Consider the following 19,731-nt stretch of genomic DNA (forward strand, 5'->3'; position numbering starts at 1 on the left):
CCTCAAATGATCCGCCCGCTTTGGCCTCCCAAAGTGCTGAGATTACAGGCATGAGCCACCGTGTCCGGCTGGCTCCTGAACACTTTTAACCACATCTGAGAGAGTTTAAAGAAAATATTTACCTACTTTGGAAAAGAATAAAGGCTATTATTCATACTCATAGACAATCAGCTGAGCTTGCTATAATTTCTGCTGAGAGCAATTATGTTCCAGATAAGAATATTTTTATATGCAGAGGCCTAGGTTTAAGTCAAAGTCAGTAAGTCGATATAGGAATGAATATACAAATTCTGCGACTAACTTAAAGGCAAAACTCTCTTGCCCAATTTCCAAGCAAGTTCCATGAGACACTGGAGTAAGCAGCTGTCCACTTTATTCTGGTGAGGGATTTTTCCTGTTAAAGAACTTTGTCATTAGCTACTGTAGTTTCACCCTCCCCATCATGCCTATCTGGAGCTTCTCTAATTAGGCTTTTTTCTTTTTTTTTTTCTTTAAGGTTAAGACTGTGAGCTTCCAAAAGACTAATGCACCATGTAGATATGTCCCAAGAGAATGACATGCTGAGCCATTAGTTGCTCATCATACAATTAACCCAGAGCAGTGGATCAGCTTGAATGGTTATCACCCAGTAGGGCCCAGAGAAAATAGGACACCTCATTTGCACGGTTTGATGTGAGAAATAGAAGAGAGAATTAGGGAATAAAAAAAATTGAAATACGGGAATAAAGGGGAACGCAGGTCTTCGTGGAGAACTCCTAAGAAGCTTATAAACCAAATTGAGTAACAAAACCACACATACAGAATTACATTAAAAAGTGGCCCAATTAAGATTTTCACCTCCTCTCTGCCTTGTAACCCTTCCTGTCATTTCCTTGTTCCAGGGAAATCTGCTTTTATAATTTTAGCAAAGGAGGAGCTTTTCTTATCAGTCAGCCTGAGAGAGTTTCCCCACATATTTTGGGGAAATTCACAATTGATTACCTACTTGGTACATGGCATTAAATTTTTTATTATATTAATGTTTCTTTGTGAATAGTTAGACTTTCCTTCTTTAAGATAGGCTGCTTTCATGACTGACATCATATAATCTACCTGTCACTCTCCTCATGGCTCTCAATCCTGCTCAGGACCAGAACAACTGGCCATTGCCTAAGAAAAAATTTCAGGGCCATGGAAAATGCCCCCCATCCCTCAAATTTTGAAATCTAAATTTCTGGTCCAAGGGTTTAGTGCAGATCTTGTGTCATTAGGCCTTCTTCTCTGGGCTCTCCTCCTGGTGGCAGAATGTTTGCCAATGATGCTAGGCAGACATCCTGGTCACTCAGTAATCCCAACAGAATGAAGACTCCCCTTCCACTGTTCTAACAAAAGACTCAGGGTGGCATTGACTCACTGATCTCACTTTATCATCTCTATGGCAATCACTATGTCCGAATGAATGCAATAGTTTAATGAATATGGCCTGAGTCACATGCCCATCTTTGAAGTAAAGGATGGAGGAACTTCCCAAATCTTAAGGATTGAGAGTGAGAGAGGAATAGTTCCCAAGGAAAACCGGTTGTCATTACCAAAAGAATACAAGAGTAATGGATGTCCACTATAACCTTGTGGCTTAAAAGGGCCTTCCTCCTTTTCTTGTAACCTAGTGGTTTAATTATAATGTTTTTTTTTTCCTTAGTTGACTGATTAGAAGGTGAGAAGAAAATTTCCTGCCTCACCATTTTTCCAGTGTGTCAAAAAGACAGCATGCTCTTAATCACCCATTGGATGAAATATGACATTTTAATGACAATTCCAGGTATGACTCCATCATAGTTAGTAAATTTTAACCCCTGTGCTATTTATCACTTTTCTACACCAGCCTCAAATGACAGCCTAAAAGGGCAACTGCTTGTTAATTTTATAACTTGCAGCAAATAGAGGCACGAGAACTTAAGAAATAGGAATTTGTCTGAGAAGGCCAGGTTGTCATCTGTTTCTCATCCTCATGTGGAGTCAGATGGGTATTTTTGACTAACGAATCTCCATGAGCTAAGTGTGAAGCAGTGTGGGCCAAACAGAACCCCTGAGAGAGTGAGTTACCACTGGCACAGACTCCCCGACAGGTGTGCTGAGTGCTGAGACTGGACGCAGCAGGCTCATGGACTGTTGTCAGTTTCCTGCAGTCATATCACATTGCTTTTCTTTTATTAATTGCTAAAATACACTATAAAATATGGGGTTAAATAAAAACATCCTAAACATTATTTTTATGGCAGTGCACACTAGCTATAAAGGGCTGAATTTTAAAAAATCTCCCCCTGGCAGGGCATAGTGGCTTGTGCCTGTAATACCAGCACTTTGGGAGGCGGAGGCGGGTGGATCACCCGAGGTCAGGAGTTTGAGGCAAGCCCCGCCAACATGGTGAAACTCCGTCTCTACCAAAAATATAAATATTAGCCAGGCATGGTGGCACACGCCTATAATCCCAGCTACTCGGGAGGCTGAGGCTGGAGAATTGCTTGAACCCGAAAGACAGAGGTTGCAGTGAGCCAAGATCGTGCCACTGCACTCCAGCCTGGGTGACAGAGTGAGACTCCATCTCAAACAAAAAAAGTTAAAAGTCTCCCTCATAAACACAATCTTGATATAGCACATTATACACAGTAGGAACTTAATAAATGTTCTCGATGCTGAATGAGTGGATATTAAATGAACTCTTGGAGTCTGTCCATGGAATGCCCTCCTAAATGATGGTCCCTCTTTTCAAGACTGTAGTTCAGCAAGAATGTAGCACTGTGCCTCTACTAGTTGTTTAGAGCCTATGTCCATTCTGATTGGGTTGGAGATCTTTATAATTCAGTGCCCATAAAATACTATTATAAAATATTTTTATATGACTTCTGCCTCTTCTTTACAGGACACTCAACAAGAAATGACTTAAATCTGTTTTTCTTATGCACTGATTCTCTCTTAAGCCTCTTTTATATCAAGACTGTATCTTATTTCCCATTATAACACTAAGGGGTTTCTGATTCGTGCTAAGATGTTAATGGCCCCTTGTGATGCTTTACCAAGGATATGAACCGTGAAGAGGTAATGTCTGAATCCAAAGACTTTAGTCACTAATGACAGCTGATAATGTCAGGCACAATGGCATGTGATATGAAATACTTTGGTTTCAGAGACTTCCTCTTGCCCTTCCAATCAACTCAGTCATCAAGGCCCTACTTTTCCAGAACACCATCCTTGCTCACCTCTTGTTTCTCCCTCCTGGTGCTTCTGTGATCCCTCTTCAGCATTAGAAAATGTTGCACCCATGCCTGTGATGATCAGAGAGACTGCAGCTGGCTTCCCGGTGGACGGAAGACGTCCCATCTTACATGTTATGGACAAAAAGATCAGACTAAAAAGATGAGAATTAACACTTGCATTCTGAAGCATATTTACTAAAAATTAATTTTAAAAGCCAGGGTCAAACTTGTGTATTTATGAAGTTGCATAAACTCACCCTTTAAATCTAAGAAAATGTCCGTCTATGAAATGTAAAGTATTTTAAAACTGCCAGCTGCCTCTCTGTCTCTACCAATGAACTTTAGCCATTTCATTACTGTCAAATGCACACAGAGGAGCATAAAAGGTTGGTTTTAGAATAGCTGCTTGAGGATTCTTAGATATAAAGGAGGGCTTTTTAAAATTTTTCACCATTTTTAAACAAACCATGGGTACTCAGGTTGAATTCAGTGGACATCTTCTAGAGCCACAGGACAACTACTAAGCTCTCGAAAATGAGGGACAGAGCTGCCTGTTAGCTTCGCATTGCAAATGGTCAAAATGGTATATAAATTAAATGAGTGTTGGTGTTAACACATCAGAGAGCTACATAGCCTTTGTTGATAGGCAGTGTGGCAGAAGCTTTGAGGAGTGGGTGGGAGCTCACAGCAATGGCAACAACAACAGTGACACCGTAACACAGAACCCTAAAGCACGGGAAGAGCAGCCTTGTATTATATTGCTGTGGGCACCTGGGACCTGGCTCTGGGTCAGTTTTGGAAGAAGAGCGGGTGACTCTTGACTTTTGGACTTCACCCAAGGGAGGAGAGAATCAGCTTGGAATGAAAGGTTGTCCACAACCTCATTACAAGTGTATTCATCACTGGTTTCCTACACACAATTTTACTTAAGCAAAAGTGCTCTGTTCAGTGTCTTCTGAGGCCACTTTCTGCTTCACCTCAAGCCTCCCAGTCTCCTGTCCACAGGCTTCAGTCTTAACTGTGGGAAATCCAGTGCAAAATTCTTCTTCTATGGTGGCCTCCCAGAACATAATCCGCTCACATGGCTATAGTGTTTTCTTCCTCTCAAACATGATACTTAAGTCTCTACCGTATATTCCATTGCATCCCACTATTTCCCAAACTCTAGTTGTTCCTGTAACACTTTTGTAATTGGTGCCATTTCAAGAACGATCTGGGGCAGTATTTACTTAAAAAAATTGAAATTGGACTCACTTTTTAAAAATTTAAATGAAGTAATTTTAAAAGAAAACATTATACCACTGCTGAAAATGGAAAAGCATTTCACTTGCCATAAACAGAAGGTATCCATGGAAATAAATACAACTGGAGCCAAACAACGTAATTAAACCCTAGCTGCACCCTGGGCCAGCCTGGGTCTCTCCGCCTGAGGCTTGTTCTCTTGAGATTGCAAAGGGAGATGAACCAAGTATGAGAATGATATTAGACACCCTCAGATGAAACTGAGGTTTTCTTCTGAAAGCAGTCAGGATGGAAAACAGTGGCTTTCTAATGTAATATTATTTAGTGTTTTGCTCTCGTCCAGCCTGAAAACATCCTGCATGCCACATAGTACACATCCCACACTTGAGACTCTCATCTTAAAATGCATTCCCCTAACATCATACACTGGGGTCTGTCAGGAGGTGGGGGACAAGAGGAGGGGGAGCATTAAGACAAATACCTGATGCATGTGTGGCTTAAAACCTAGATGATGGATTGATAGGTACAGCAAACCACCATGGCACATATATACCTATGTAATAAACCTGACGTTCTGCACATGTACCCCAGAACTTAAAGTAAAATGCATTCCCCTATATTCCCAGTTACATTTATGCATGTGTTTAATATCTCCCACTAGTTAGTAAACTCTCTGATGATAAGATTGGTACTAAAGGTCTTAGCTTAACTTAATTACTATGTGCAAGTATCTTGATCCTAAGGGTTAGTTAATAAGTAGGGAAATTGATTAGAAAGATAAATAGAATAAAAATACCCTGATATTTCTTATTGTGATTTCATCTCAATCAGCAAAGCCTTACTGAGCAACTATTTAGTGTTAGATGCTGATTAGGTGTTGATGATGTGAGCACTGGGCATACAGTGGTGAATCAACAGAAAAGAAGAAGAGGAAAATTCCATGAGATCCTGGAAATAATAAGATAAATGGGTATCATGAACCATAGATCCATTTTGGGGTTTGACATATGACCCAAATCTTATTACAGTGCTAAATGTATTAAACTAAATCCAGAAGGAAATTACTTTACCAGAATGAAAAAGTAGGATGTCAGATCTTAAAAGGTCAGTGGATGCTTTATTCAGTTTACCAAATAGTGCTAAAAAGTTGCTCATTGGTCACTTTCCTTTAGGGTTCTTGCATTAGGGACCTTCAGCTTATTCTATGACAACACATGATCATTAAGAGGGATTTATTTGGAAATAAAAAACAGAGACATTCCCTAGCCATTTTTCAGGTGAGCTATGTTTTTCCATCTGCAAACTAAGAACTCCTGGGTTGCTGGATCACAGTGATGGCAAACACGTGCACAATGCTTACTAACTACCAAGTGCATTTTCAGTATTTTAAATATATATGAATGAATCAAATCCTCATAATGATTCTAAGAGTAGGTATATTCATTTTCCATTGCTTCCATACAAATTAGCATATGCTTGGCAGCTTAAAACAACACAGATTTATTGTTTTACAGTTCTGTAGGTCAGTAGCTTGAGTGGGGCCTCACTAGGTTAAGATCAAAATGTCTGCAGGGCTGAGTTTCTTTCTGGAGGCTCTAGGGAAGAATCCATTTCCTTGCTCATTCATGTTTCACAGAATTGAGTTTCTCGCAGTTGTGGGACTGAGGTCTCCATATGCTTGCTGGTTATCTGCTGAAGGCTGTTCTCAACTTCTAGAGGCTACAGTCCTCGGCCAAGGCCCTCTTCTTCCATGTTCATGCTTTGAACCTCTCCTGCCTCTTCTTTTCATTGCATCTTTCTGCCTTACTCTTCTGCTTTCCTCTTGCATTTTGAAGGAATTGTGTAATTAGATTGGGCCCACAGAGGTAATACAGGATCATCTTCCCATCTCAAGGTCCCTTAACCATAGTCTCATCTGAAAAGTCTCTTTTGCCATGTAAGGTAACATATTCACAAATTCTTAGAACTAGAGTACACATGTTTTGGGGTGGGGGGGGGGCATTTTTCTGCTGATCACCGTCAAACGCTATTGTTACCATCCTTATTTTTCTAGCAAGGGCTACTCTTTGAAATAATGAGAAAATGGCTGTTTCTCTTTGTTCTTTCTTTAGTTTACAATGGCAGGGCCCTCTCCTACCAAATCCACTTTCAAGAAGAATCTGACATCAGATGTTTGCACTTAGTTTGGCTACACAACAAGGTATGACCTGTTTCAGAAACATTTGCATTAGAATACGTTTGTAATTAAGAAATTAAAGACATTCTCCTCTGGCAGATAGACTTGAAACAGTGGTTTTATTAGAGGAGTTATTTTTGCTTTCTAATTACTTCCTATTAGCAGCCACATATTCCATCTATACTGTGAGTTGCCCCAGTGAGTTCTAAGGCAACAGAGACTCACTTCATTCATCCACCTGACCCAGGACCTATGAGGGAGCATGAATGAATCTCTCCACCCTCCTGCTTTTATCCCCTGTCTCCATCCTATAGATGTCCCTTGGAGTTTCATAATTCAGTGTCTCAAACCCAGATGGTGAAGCTCAGGAGGGAGGCAGCCTTATTTGTTTGGTTCCTCACCATGTCTTCAGCACTAAGTACAGAGCTTATCCTGGAAAAGGGTTGTAGGCAGCTCGTGACATAGCTCCCAGTGGTGCCCAGATTTCTCATCCACAGAAACTGTGGGTTCCAATACAATAAAGGGATATGGATATGGATTTTAAGCCACCATGGTATAAGTTACTTGTTGTGCAGCAACAGGTAACTAATACAAGTAGGCACTTAATATATATTTACAAAATGACTAAATCAAGAAGACATAACAGAAGTATTTACTTCTTTGTGTGCGCTTGATGGTGGCTTGATAATGGCAGTGAGAACTCTAGAGATGAAGAGGTTTGTCTAACACTATAGTTGGCAATTGCTAAGTTACTTGTGCAATTCAAATTTATACACCTGGGAAAATTCTAGAGAAGAATCCAAGAAGATGTTCTATAGCTGAATTCCTTTCTCCCATGCTTAAAGCAGAGCATTGTCCATTAAGGGGCTTGAAATTAGGTGTAGCCAGTTTTCAGCACAAGTTGCTGCCTCACCCTCTGTTTGTCTTTAGAGATGCATTTTTCGGGAAAGACTATGTGGCCAGGAGGCCTCTGCAAATTCCATCTAGTTGGCCCTTGGCAGAGCTGCCCACTGGTTCTTCTGGCATCTTTATTTCCCTTGCCTTGAATTTATTCATTCCTCCCCCTTTTGTGTTGTGGTTGGCTGTATGTTATTAGTGAAGACAAATCCTGAAGCACTTCCTGAAGACAGAGGGGCACCACTCATTTTTCTTAACAATATGTATACTGGTTGTCCTAAGGGGAAGATCACTGCATTAGAAACAAAATACATCATTCCCAACAGGAATATGGACTCAAAGCCAGGTCTGTGGAATGTGGCTGAAATGGAGAAATAACAGCTGTGGTGTTTGGGTTTCTTGAAACCAAGAAATACAGCATATGAAAAGTTCCATTGGAATTTTAACATAGGATTTCTTTCCCACTTGGCTTAGTCTCAGATGGTCAAATAATATGATACAATGTGGCAGCTGAAGGACTAGTTTTAGGATTGGATAGGTGTATATGCCCCATGTGAAAATCTGAGGATACATGCTCAATAATGTATAAAACCTAACCTAGGAGTCCTGCTGGCTGCAAACGTAGCAGCAGAAGATGTATCCAGGTGGAGATCAGCTCATTAGACCATTTCTCCAGCCACACATTAAGTCACCAGCTTTGCTCTGAGACCTTAGACATGTGCTTAGACTTTCCCTGCCAATCTGAAATTCATTGACTCTTCCTCCTTCCTCCATTTCAGTGTCATAGCTATGCAGAGAGGAACCAGGTTACTGAAACTTGGGGTAGGACTTGTCAAAAACTAAAAATGCAGGACATATACATCAAAATGAGATGAGCTGTTTGTTATCTGATTTAAAAAAAAATTTTTTTTAAAGAGAACAAGTCTCACTCTGTCACCCAGGCTGGAGTACAGTGGTGCAATCATAGCTCACTGTAACCTTGAACTCCTGGGCTCAAGCAATCCTCCTGCCTCAGCCTCCTGAGTAGCTGGGACTGCAGGCATGTACGACCATACCTCGTTAATTTTTTTCTAGTTTTTGTAGAGATGGGGTCTCACTATGTTGCCCAGGCTGGTCTTGAATTCTTGGCCTCAAGTGAGCCTCCCACCTTGGCTTCCCAAAGTGTTGGGATTACGGGTATGAGCTACCATGCCCAGCATGACTTTTTTTTTTTTTTTTTTTTGAGACAGAATCTCACTCTCACCCAGGCTGGAGTGCAGTGGTGCAATCTTGGCTCACAGCAAACTCTGCTGCCCAGGTTCAAGTGATTCTTCTGCCTTAGCCTCCCGAGTAGCTGGGATTACAGGCACCTGCCACCATGTCCTGCAAATTTTTGTGTTTTTAGTGGAGATGGGGTTTCAACATCTTGGTCAGGCTGGTCTTGGACTCCTGACCTCGTAATCCACCTGCCTCAACCTGCTAAAGTGCTGGAATTACAGGCATGAACCACCACGAGCATGATTTTTTTAACTGGGCTTTCTTCACGAGTCATCTCAGAGTAATGAGGAGACAACATGATGAAGGCAGACATTGTATTTATCCTTAAAAACATTTTTTCCTTGTTTAATTATTTTTGCCCTCATTTCAAACTTCCTTTCTTATAGTTTACCAAGGAAAGCAGTTGTAAGAGAATAAATTAAGTGGTAAGGAAAATTGAGGTCCATAGCCTTGAGTTCTTGAGATATGGGGTTAAAATGGGTAGAAAGAAACATCGGATGAGTCACCCTTCCACTGTAAGTCCAGCAATGCAAGGATGTTGGATTATGACTTACGTCTTTTTTAATATTTTTATTTGGTGCAGTCTACTTCCTTTACTGGCTGGGGATCAGGGGACTTGGTCACACACCTGGAGAATACACCAGAACTGTAAAGGAATGAGAGAAAGATACATAACCATTGAAGCAGGAGCCCCTGGCCCAATATGTCCACTTTCAACAGAAAGGGGCAGCAGGTTCTTCTTCCAGGCCTTCCTCATCTCCCATCACGGGATTTCCTTCTTTGTTTCTGGTGCCTGTGGTCCTATTGGGGTACCATTGTAAATGCTGAATGGTAACTCAAATTTCCTTCTTTTAGAGAAGAATACTTTGCAATGGGAGATTTTAATGCCTGGACATGGACTTAAACCCTGGACCCTCAGATGAAAAGTCTGCTACTCTACCAACTGAGTTACCCCAACCCTTATGCTCCGCAAAATTCAGTGATGGAAATAACTGCAATATTTTTAAAAATCAAAATTATCAAAAGTGGCCCGGACATGGTGGCTCATGCTTATAATCCTAGCACTTTGGGAGGCAGAGGGAGGAGAAACACTTGAGGCCAGGAGTTCAAGACCATCCTGGGCAACATAGTGAGACCTTATCTCTACAAAACAAAACAAGACAAAGGAAAAACAAATAGTTGGATGTTGTGACTTGTGCCCATCATCCCTGCTACTTGGGAGGTTAAGGTGGGAGGACCTCTTGGGCCTGGGAAGTCGAGACTACAGTAGGCTGTGATTGTGCCACTGCACTCCAGCCTGGGCACCAGAGTGAAAATACCTAGGAATCCAACTTAAAACGGATGCGAAGGACCTCTTCAAGGAGAACTACAAACCACTGCTCAATGAAATAAAAGAGGATACAAACAAATGGAAGAACATTCCATGCTCATGGGTAGGAAGAATCAATATCGTGAAAATGGCCATTCTGCCCAAGGTAATTTATAGATTCAATGCCATCCCCATCAAGCTACCAATGACTTTCTTCACAGAATTGGAAAAAACTACTTTAAATTTCATATGGAACCAAAAAAGAGCCCACATTGCCAAGTCAATCCTAACCCAAAAGAACAAAGCTGGAGGCATCACGCTACCTGACTTCAAACTATACTACAAGGCTACAGTAACCAAAACAGCATGGTACTGGTACCAAAACAGAGATATAGACCAATGGAACAGAACAGAGCCCTCAGAAATAATGCTGCATATCTACAACTATCTGATCTTTGACAAAACTGACAAAAAGAAGAAATGGGGAAAGGATTCCCTATTTAATAAATGGTGCCGGGAAAACTGGCTAGCCATATGTAGAAAAGGTGAAACTGAATCCCTTCCTTACACCTTATACAAAAATTAATTCAAGATGGATTAAAGACTTACATGTTAGACCTAAAGCCATAAAAACTCTAGAAGAAAACCTAGGCAATACCATTCAGGACATAGGCATGGGCAAGGACTTCATGTCTAAAACACCAAAAGCAATGGCAACAAAAGTCAAAATTGACAAATGGGATCTAATTAAACTAAAGAGCTTCTGCATGGCAAAAGAAACCACCATCAGAGTGAACAGACAACCTACAGAATGGGAGAAAATTTTTGCAACCTACTCATCTGACAAAGGGCTAATATCCAGAATCTACAATGAACTCAAACAAATTTACAAGAAAAAAAAAACCCATCAACAAGTGGGCAAAGGATGTGAACAGACACTTCTCAAAAGAAGACATTTATGCAGCCAAAAAACACATGAAAAAATGCTCAACATCACTGGCCATCAGAGAAATGCAAATCAAAACCACAATGAGATACCATCTCACACCAGTTAGAATGGCGATCATTAAAAAGTCAGGAAACAACAGGTGCTGGAGAGGATGTGGAGAAATAGGAACACTTTTACACTGTTGGTGGGACTGTAAACTAGTTCAACCACTGTGGAAGTCAGTGTGGCGATTCCTTAGGGATCTAGAACTAGAAATACCATTTGACCCAGCCATCCCATTACTGGGTATATACCCAAAGGATTATAAATCATGCTTCTATAAAGACACATGCACATGTATGTTTATTGCAGCACTATTCACAATAGCAAAGACTTGGAACCAACCCAAATGTCCAACAATGATAGACTGGATTAAGAAAATGTGGCACATATACACTATGGAATACTATGCAGCCATAAAAAGGATGAGTTCATGTCCTTTGTAGGGACATGGATGAAGCTGGAAACCATCATTCTCAGCAAACTATCTCAAGGACAAAAAACCAAACACCGCACATTCTCACTCATAGGTGGGAATTGAACAATGAGAACACATGGACACAGGAAGGGGAAGATCACACACCGGAGACTGTTGTGGGGTGGGGGGAGGGGGGAGGGATAGCATTAGGAGATATACCTAATGCTAAATGACGAGTTAATGGGTGCAGCACACCAACATGGCACATGTATACATATGTAACAAATCTGCACGTTGTGCACATGTACCCTAAAACTTAAAGTATAATAATAAAAAATAAAAATAAAAAAAGAAAAAGAAAAAATATACATATATATAAATATTTGGTGTAGTCTACCTCCTTTGAAATTGCTAGTGCATAGGAAATTGCTAGTGCATAGTCTTCTACAGTCTTTTGTGCCTTTGAAATTGCTAGTGTGTGTATATATATATGTGTATATATATATGTGTATATATATGTGTGTATATATATGTGTATATATATATGTGTATATATATGTGTGTGTGTGTGTATATATATATGTGTATATATATATATGTGTGTGTGTGTGTGTGTGTATATATATATATATCACAAAAGTATAAATGAAGAGAGATTTGGTATTTCTGACTTTTCCTTTTGCAGCTCCCTCCTGGCTCCACTATGGCTGGGCAGGGCATAGCTTTTCACCTTCTGCTGCTTCCCTGCCTCAATGCTCACGGTGGACTGCCCGCATTTTCCTGCAGCACAGGCAGGGTTGGGGGGCAGGGGCAGCCTCAGGAAACAGCAACCCCTTCCTGTGACTGCCTTCCCACCAGCTCTCCTCTCCTGGCTAACCAGACCTCTTTCAGCTGCAGGATAGTGTAAAATAATCTTTTTCCTTCAGAATGGGGTTCAGGAAAAAATGCAATTTCTGGCTTTACTTATGACAGTGAGAGAAGTGCTATTTCCTCTTCTTTAAGATTCTGTCCTCGCTACTTTGAGGGTCTGTATCTGCAAAGCTGTTGTCACAATTCTACAGATAGGGAAGAAGGGAGCTATTAGTGCCTAGTCCCTCCTGTCTGCAAGAGGGCTATGCGGTACAGCATTATTTTCAAGAGCACCAAATCTGGAGCCAGTCTGTCTAGTTCAAGTTCCGGTCCAGCCCCTAGCTAGCTGTGTGGCCTTGGGCGAGCTATTTCACTCTTGATATTTCTATTTTCTCCTCTAAAGATAGGGATGTGGATACTGCCTGCCTAGTAAGGCTAATAGGAGGAATAACACATGAAGTACTTAGGATTGTGCCTGGCACGTAATAAGCATTCAAAAGTGTCAGCAGTTATTACTATTTTACACTTTCCATAACTCAGTGAGCTGTTCCTATTTTCATTTTACAAACAAAGAAACAGGAATAGCAAATTTAAGTAACTCATTAAAGGGAATTCAGCTAAAATGGAACGAGACAACATGTGAACTATCATCTTCATAGAAATAGAAAAGATTTGACTCCTTTAAGAGAAGGGAAATATACTTTTTGTTCAGAATAGTTTCAGTTTTCTGTATTATTGGAAAAGTAAAGAACAAGAATTTATAATAAGGCCAAGAAGTTTTTGACTTTATTTTATTTTTATTTGAAGACTGTTCAGATTCATTATTTCCTTCATGAGGTTTTCTATTTTATTTTTTTTGTCATCCTTAATTCATAATTCAGAATAAAAGGTGACATTGCCTTCAACAATCTGAATTGCTTCTGTTTATAACCTGCCTGTTGATGAGTATTGTTTTTAGTCTTCTACAGTCTTTTGTGCCTTTGAGATTGCTAGTATGTAGGGCAGCACCTTTTCTGTCTTTGTCTTTCATTGAGACCCTGGACTGATGTTGGTCTAATGCATACACACCTAACACTTGCTCCACACGTAATCCCAGGGTACTGTTGAGATAACAAGATATAGTAAAGCTCCGTGACAGCAAAGAAGTATTTGTCTTGTTCTACATTTCTCTTGACTGATTCTGCTCTGCTTTAAAGTCAAGCAAATTAAAAATATATACTAAAGAACTCAAGGAAAAATTACAAAATTTTTAATGTAATTTTTAAGCAAATTACATAAAGAATAATTTACATAAATGAAACCCAAGAAAGAATCTCATCAGGAAGCTATTTAATATATAATGGAGCTAAAGGGAGAAGAGAGGCTACGTAGAAGGGACAGGCAGATCCTGCTTTTAACAGGAAAGTTTCTATGTAACACATCTTTCTCTTGAGAGGGAAAGAGGTTGAGCTTCTCTATCCCCTGGTAATAGGCATTTATAGATCTACTCATCTTTTTGTGATATTCTGTTACTCCCTATAGGGTTTAATTGGGGTGATTCAGGGTTTTTTTTTGTTTTTCCTTTTTATAAAAAAGGAAGTAATGCTGCCCTTAACACAAATGCCATTTTCAAAGCACCACAAAGTGAAGAGTTTGAAAATTTGTTCCTGAGTAACAGGAGAAAGTGTTGAGATGGCTAGCAAGTTTGTGCACCTGTGTGTATATAATTTTTTTAATTGTGGTAAAATACACATACCATAAAATTTAGCATTTTAACCATTTTAAAGTGCACAATTTAGTGACATTTAATATTTCACAATGTTGAGGAACTATGACTACTGTCTTGTTCCAAAACATTTTCATCCCTCCTAAAGGAAATCCCATGACCATTAAGCAGGCACTTATCTCCTCTTCCCATAGCTGCTGGGAACCACCAGTGTGCTTTCTGTCTCATGGATTTGCCTATTCTGGATATTTCATATACATGAAATCATCCGATATGTGGTCTTTGTGTCTGGCATCTTTCACTTAGCATCATGTTTTCATGGTCCATACATAATGTAGCATGTATCAGTTCCTCGTTTTTTCTGTGGTTGAATAACTTGCCGTTACAGGAATATACCACACTTTGTTTAACCATTTATCAGTTGATGGACATGTGAATTGTTTTCACCTTTGACTATTGTAAATAGTGTAGCTATGGACATTTGTGTTCAAGTGTTTGTTTGAACACCTTGTTTCAATTCTTCTGGGTATATATTCAAGAGTAGAATTGTTGGGTCATATAATTGTGTATTTTATGAGGAGCTGCCAAGTTAATTTCCATAGTGGCTGCACCATTTTACATTGCCATTTAACACATTTTTAAAATTAATAGCATAATTTATGAAAATTAAGGATACACCAGCTGGGCGCGGTGGCTCACGCCTATAGTTCCAGCACTTTGGGAAGCAGAGGTGGGCGGATCATGAGGTCAGGAGTTCGAGACCAGCCTGGCCAACATGGCGAAACATCTCTACTAAAAATACAAAAATTAGCCGGGCATGGTGGCAGGTGCCTGTAATCCCAGCTACTCAGGAGTCTGAGGCAGGAGAATTGCTTGAACCTGGGAGGCAGAGGTTGCAGTGAGCCGAGATCGTGCCATTGCACTCCAGTCTGAGTGACAAGAGCACGACTCTGTCAGAAAAAAAAAAAAAGACACTAAGGATACACCTACCCAAAAATGTACATGTATTTTTCAAGGACATACGCCCGTCTAAGACATACCTAAAACCATGGATCTTTCAGATACAGGTATGCTAGTTGTTAGAATGAGGTCCCAGGAGTGAAGCAAAACTCATGCATCAGACTTCTTTCTATCCAAAAGTAAAGATCCCCCAAGATCAGCCAAATCCCTTTGCTCTGATTTTTAATCATTTAGCAATCTTCTGAAGCCTGATAGAATTTCCTAGGCATCTACGAAATTCATGAGGAGGTCATTCCTGGTATATGGACACAAATATGCCATTCTTGGGAAAGTGTTCATTTTGCCCATCTGACTTATCTCTCAAGTCCTTGTGAGATGGCTTATTATAAATCATGCACACAGTTTGGTCAACCCCACCCCACAAGTGAACTGTCAAATCATACCCAGTTTCCTTTTAATTCTTCACATTTTAACATGTCTAAAATCAATAACTTTTTGGATCCCATGAAATAAAGTAATTTTGAGAAAACAAAATTTAGATTTTTAATCCAGGATATTAGTGACCTCATTAAGGTTCATCACATTTGTGAGGCCAGGAATAGAATGGCCTTATTGAGGCCTTATCTGGAATATTATATAAATTATTTGCAAGGACTACTTATCTTCTCACCCAATCCCTGCTACACACACACACACACACACACACACACACACACACCATCAGGGTTTAATAGAGGTCTCCGTTCCTGATATTATGGCACCCTATTCATGTTTCTGTGTCTGATCCAAAATATCAGGATGTTCATGCTGTCACTACATTTGCCATAGAACTTGGTTCTATTGCACTCCCAGAGGCTACCCTTCTCTCCATCAGCACCTGACAAATGTGTGCTCTGTAGGGGTCAGAAGGAGAAGAGGAAGAATGAGGATGACCCAGGGAAAAGCTATCTTCACCACTGAAAACAATTCACAGCATCAGCCCAAGTAGCTATGGATCAATAGTGTAAGTCTGGGTGCAGAGTAGCCTACTTTGGTCAGCATAGCACCCGATGGAATCTTCTGCTCCAATTTTTTTTTTTTTTTTTTTGAGACAGAGTCTTGCTCTGTTGCCCAGGCTGGAGTGCAGTAGTGCAATCTTGGCTCACCACAACCTCTGCCTCCCAGGTTCAAGCGATTCTTCTGCCTCAGCCTCCCAAGTAGTTGGGACTACAGGTGCACACCACCATGCCCAGCTAATTTTTGTATTTTTTAGTAGAGATGGGGTTTCACTATGTTGGCTAGGCTGGTCTCAAACTCCTGACCTTGTGATCTGCCCACCTTGGCCTCTCAAAGTGCTGGGATTACAGGCGTGAGTCACCACGCCTGGCCCCAATTTTTAAATTATAGTTACATTCAATAAAATGACCAAGATCTTATCTAGAGCATGACCGAAAAGAGGACAAGTCTTAAAGACCATTTTGTCTGGTAGCCTTCAAATTGAGGCCCACATACCCCTACAGGTATACAAAACCTCACAAAAGATACCTGAGTGTACACATTTTTAAAGAAATTAATTTCCAGATCCTTAACTTGCATCCTACAATAAACCTGCGTTGCTTCTGCTTTCTCATTTTCCCATCTCAGTCTCCTTCCTGTCACTTTGCAAGAAAATGGTGTACCTCCCACACAAACAGCATTTTTCTATGATGTATTGTTATTTTGTGTGTACAAACCTGTAGAGCAAAAACAAATGGCCAACTCAAAACACTGATGGCCAGCTTTGTGGTTTTTCTTGGATGCCTAACTCCATGCTTTGCCCTTAAAAGAACCATTATGCCTTTTTAAGGGCAAAGCATGAAGTTAGAGACATGTGGTATCTTGATTTGTGCTAAGATGTTCGGAATTCATGTACACTGAAGGAAAAGGCAGGACTACCAACAATTTCCTTTTAATGACCTCTCTCTTTTATCCCTGGATATTGCTACAGAATGTATCCCTTTAGGGGAAGAGGTTCCCTTGAGAGCAAAGCAAAGATGAGGTTGTTGAAGTCCACTGTGCCTTATTTCCTTGTGCCTGAGTACCATGTTTTATCCATTAGTGTTAAGATTAGTGTTAAGAAGTGAGATGGTTGTCATGGGAATGCATCTCAACACAGCAATTTAAATTGAAAAGACTTTTCCTAACAGAAAACTCATCTGATTTTACTGATAATGAAGACTGGCTTTTTCAATTAGATTAGATGATGGATGCTGTCTATAACTTGAATGAGCCAAATCAGCAGCTCCAAGGTTATGATGAAAATATATTTAAGGCACATAATGAGACAAATAGATTTTATAAAAAATTTTGTACTGGCACGGGTGAGTTGAAATACTTGTATTTTCCCCATTCTTTCTGAGTGCATTGTAATACGGTTTGTCACTGAGGAAAAGCATAACAGGAAGTTTTTTTTTGTTAAAGTATTGACATACTTTCTCAATGGTTGGTAAATGTTTATCGCCCTGAATCCTAGGAGCCCTAGCCCCTTCCCAGGGACCTGGAACCTGTCAGACTTCATAATCTAGCAGCTGTAAGGTTGGTACCTTGCATTACAGGGGTCTGCAGGACCTGCTCTAGCACAAAGACCAGGGTCCAGTACTCTGTGTTGGTTGATTCCTTGTCTTACAAGTTAACACTGAATATCTCTCCAAGTCATCAGTATAATTGTCATTTTATAAATCTTAGTAAAGCTTCTGCAGTAACTGAGAAATGACTCTAAAGATGGTTAACAAGTCATTTAGTTTTTCCCTAATTTTAAAAATACTTTAAAAAATAATGAAGGAGGACCTGAGTTGCCAATTAATTGAACATAAACATAATTTTTTTTTTTTTGAGACAGAGTCTCACTCTGCCGCCCAGGCTTCAGTGCAGTGGCGTGATCTCGGCTCACTGCAACCTCTGCCTCCTGGGTTCAAGCGATTCTCCTGTCTCAGCCTCCCAAGTATCTGGGATTACAGGTGTGCGCCACCACACCTGGCTAATTTTTGTATTTTTTGTAGAGATGGGGTTTCACTATGGTTGTCAGGCTGGTCTTGACCTCCTGACTTCATGATCTGCCCGCCTTGGCCTCTCAAAGTGCTGGGATTACAGGCATGAGCCACTGCACCTGGCTGAACATAAACATAATTTATAATTTTTTATGGAAAATCACTGTGTGATTTTAGCATGGAGTCATGGTGGATTTTAAAGAGATGGACCAAATGGCTCTAATAAAATGTGCATTTCTAGGTACACATTTTTGAGAACAATGTTTCTCAGGGCTCCTATTTTTAAAAATGAAAAATACAAATAATATTGATGCTCAACCACAACTCATTCTACAGTTGAACAATTCTCATCTGCAAATACATAAAGTAATTACGGGAAAAAGGCTTCACCTATATTGTCAGCAAATACATTTAGAGTATAATTTGGCTGGGCATGGTGGCTCATGCCTGTAATCCCAGCACTTTGGGAGGCTGAGGTGGGCAGTTCACCTGAAGTCAGGAGTTCAAGACCAGCCTGGCAAACATGGTGAAACCCCATCTCTACTAAAAGAAAAGCAAAAACAGTTCTGTTCCAAGATGGCCAAATAGGAACAGCTCCCATCTGTAGCTCCCAGCGTGATCAACACAGAAGATGGGTGATTTCTGCATTTCCAACTGAAGTACCTGGTTCATCTCATTGGGACTGGTTGGACAGTGGGTGCAGCCCACGGAGGGCGAGCTGAAGCAGGGCGGGGAGTTGCCTCTCTCAGGAAGCACAAGGAGTTGGGGAATTTCCCTTTCCTAGCCAAGGGAAGCTGTGACAGACTGTACCTGGAAAATCGGTACACTCACACCCAAATGCTGCGCTTTTCCCATGGTCTTAGAAACCAGCAGACCGGGAGTTTCATTCCTGTGCCTGGCTTGGCAGGTCCCACACCCATGGAGCCTTGCTCACTGCTAGCGTAGCAGTCTGAGATTGCTCTGTGAGGCTGCAGCCTGGCGGGGGGAGGGGCATCCACCATTGCTGAGGCTTGAGTAGGTAAACAAAGCAGCTGAGAAGCTTGAACTGGGCGGAGCCCACCACAGCTCAGAAAGGCCTACCACCTCTATAGACTCCACCTCTGTGGGCAGGGCATAGCTGAACAAAAGGCAGCAGAAACTTCTGCAGACTTAAACGTCCCTGTCTGACAGCTCTGAAGAGAGCAATGGTTCTCCCAGCATGGCATTTGAGCTCTGAGAATGGACAGACTGCCTCCTCAAGTGGGTCCCTGATCCCTGTGTAGCCTAACTGGGAGACACCTCTCAGTAGGGTCCAACAGACACCTCATACAGGTGGGTGCCCCTCTGGGACGAAGCTTCCAGGGGAAGGATCAGGCAGCGATATTTGCTGTTCTGCAGCCTCTGTTGGTGATACCCAGGCAAACAGGGTCTGGAGTGGACCTCCAGCAAACTCCAACAGACCTGCAGCTCAGGGACCTGACGGTTAGAAGGAAAACTAAGAAACAGAAAGGAATAACATCAACATCAATGAAAAGGACATCCACACCAAAACCTCATCTGTAGGTCACCAACATCAAAGACCAAAGGTAGATAAAACCACAAAGATGGGGAGAAACCAGAGCAGAAAAGCTGAAAATTCTAAAAACCAGAGCACCTCTTTTCCTCCAATGGATCACAGTTCCTCACCAGCAATGGAACAAAGCTGGACGGAGA

General features: G+C 40.9%; 1 pseudogene, besides 1 other annotated feature; it reads right to left on the reverse strand.

Moving 5' to 3' along the window:
* On the reverse strand, window positions 9,691-9,763 carry TRK-TTT15-1 (tRNA-Lys (anticodon TTT) 15-1; annotated as a pseudogene).
* Window positions 18,971-19,470: an enhancer, noted in NCBI's record as "H3K4me1 hESC enhancer chr2:224195595-224196094 (GRCh37/hg19 assembly coordinates)". NCBI's record gives its function as "activates a minimal SCP1, AML or CMV promoter by ChIP-STARR-seq in naive H9 embryonic stem cells {active_cell/tissue: H9 hESC(naive)}" and the evidence as "EXISTENCE:reporter gene assay evidence [ECO:0000049][PMID:30033119]".

This window comes from Homo sapiens, chromosome 2 (genome assembly GCF_000001405.40).
Source record: "Homo sapiens chromosome 2, GRCh38.p14 Primary Assembly".
Classification (NCBI taxonomy): domain Eukaryota; kingdom Metazoa; phylum Chordata; class Mammalia; order Primates; family Hominidae; genus Homo; species Homo sapiens.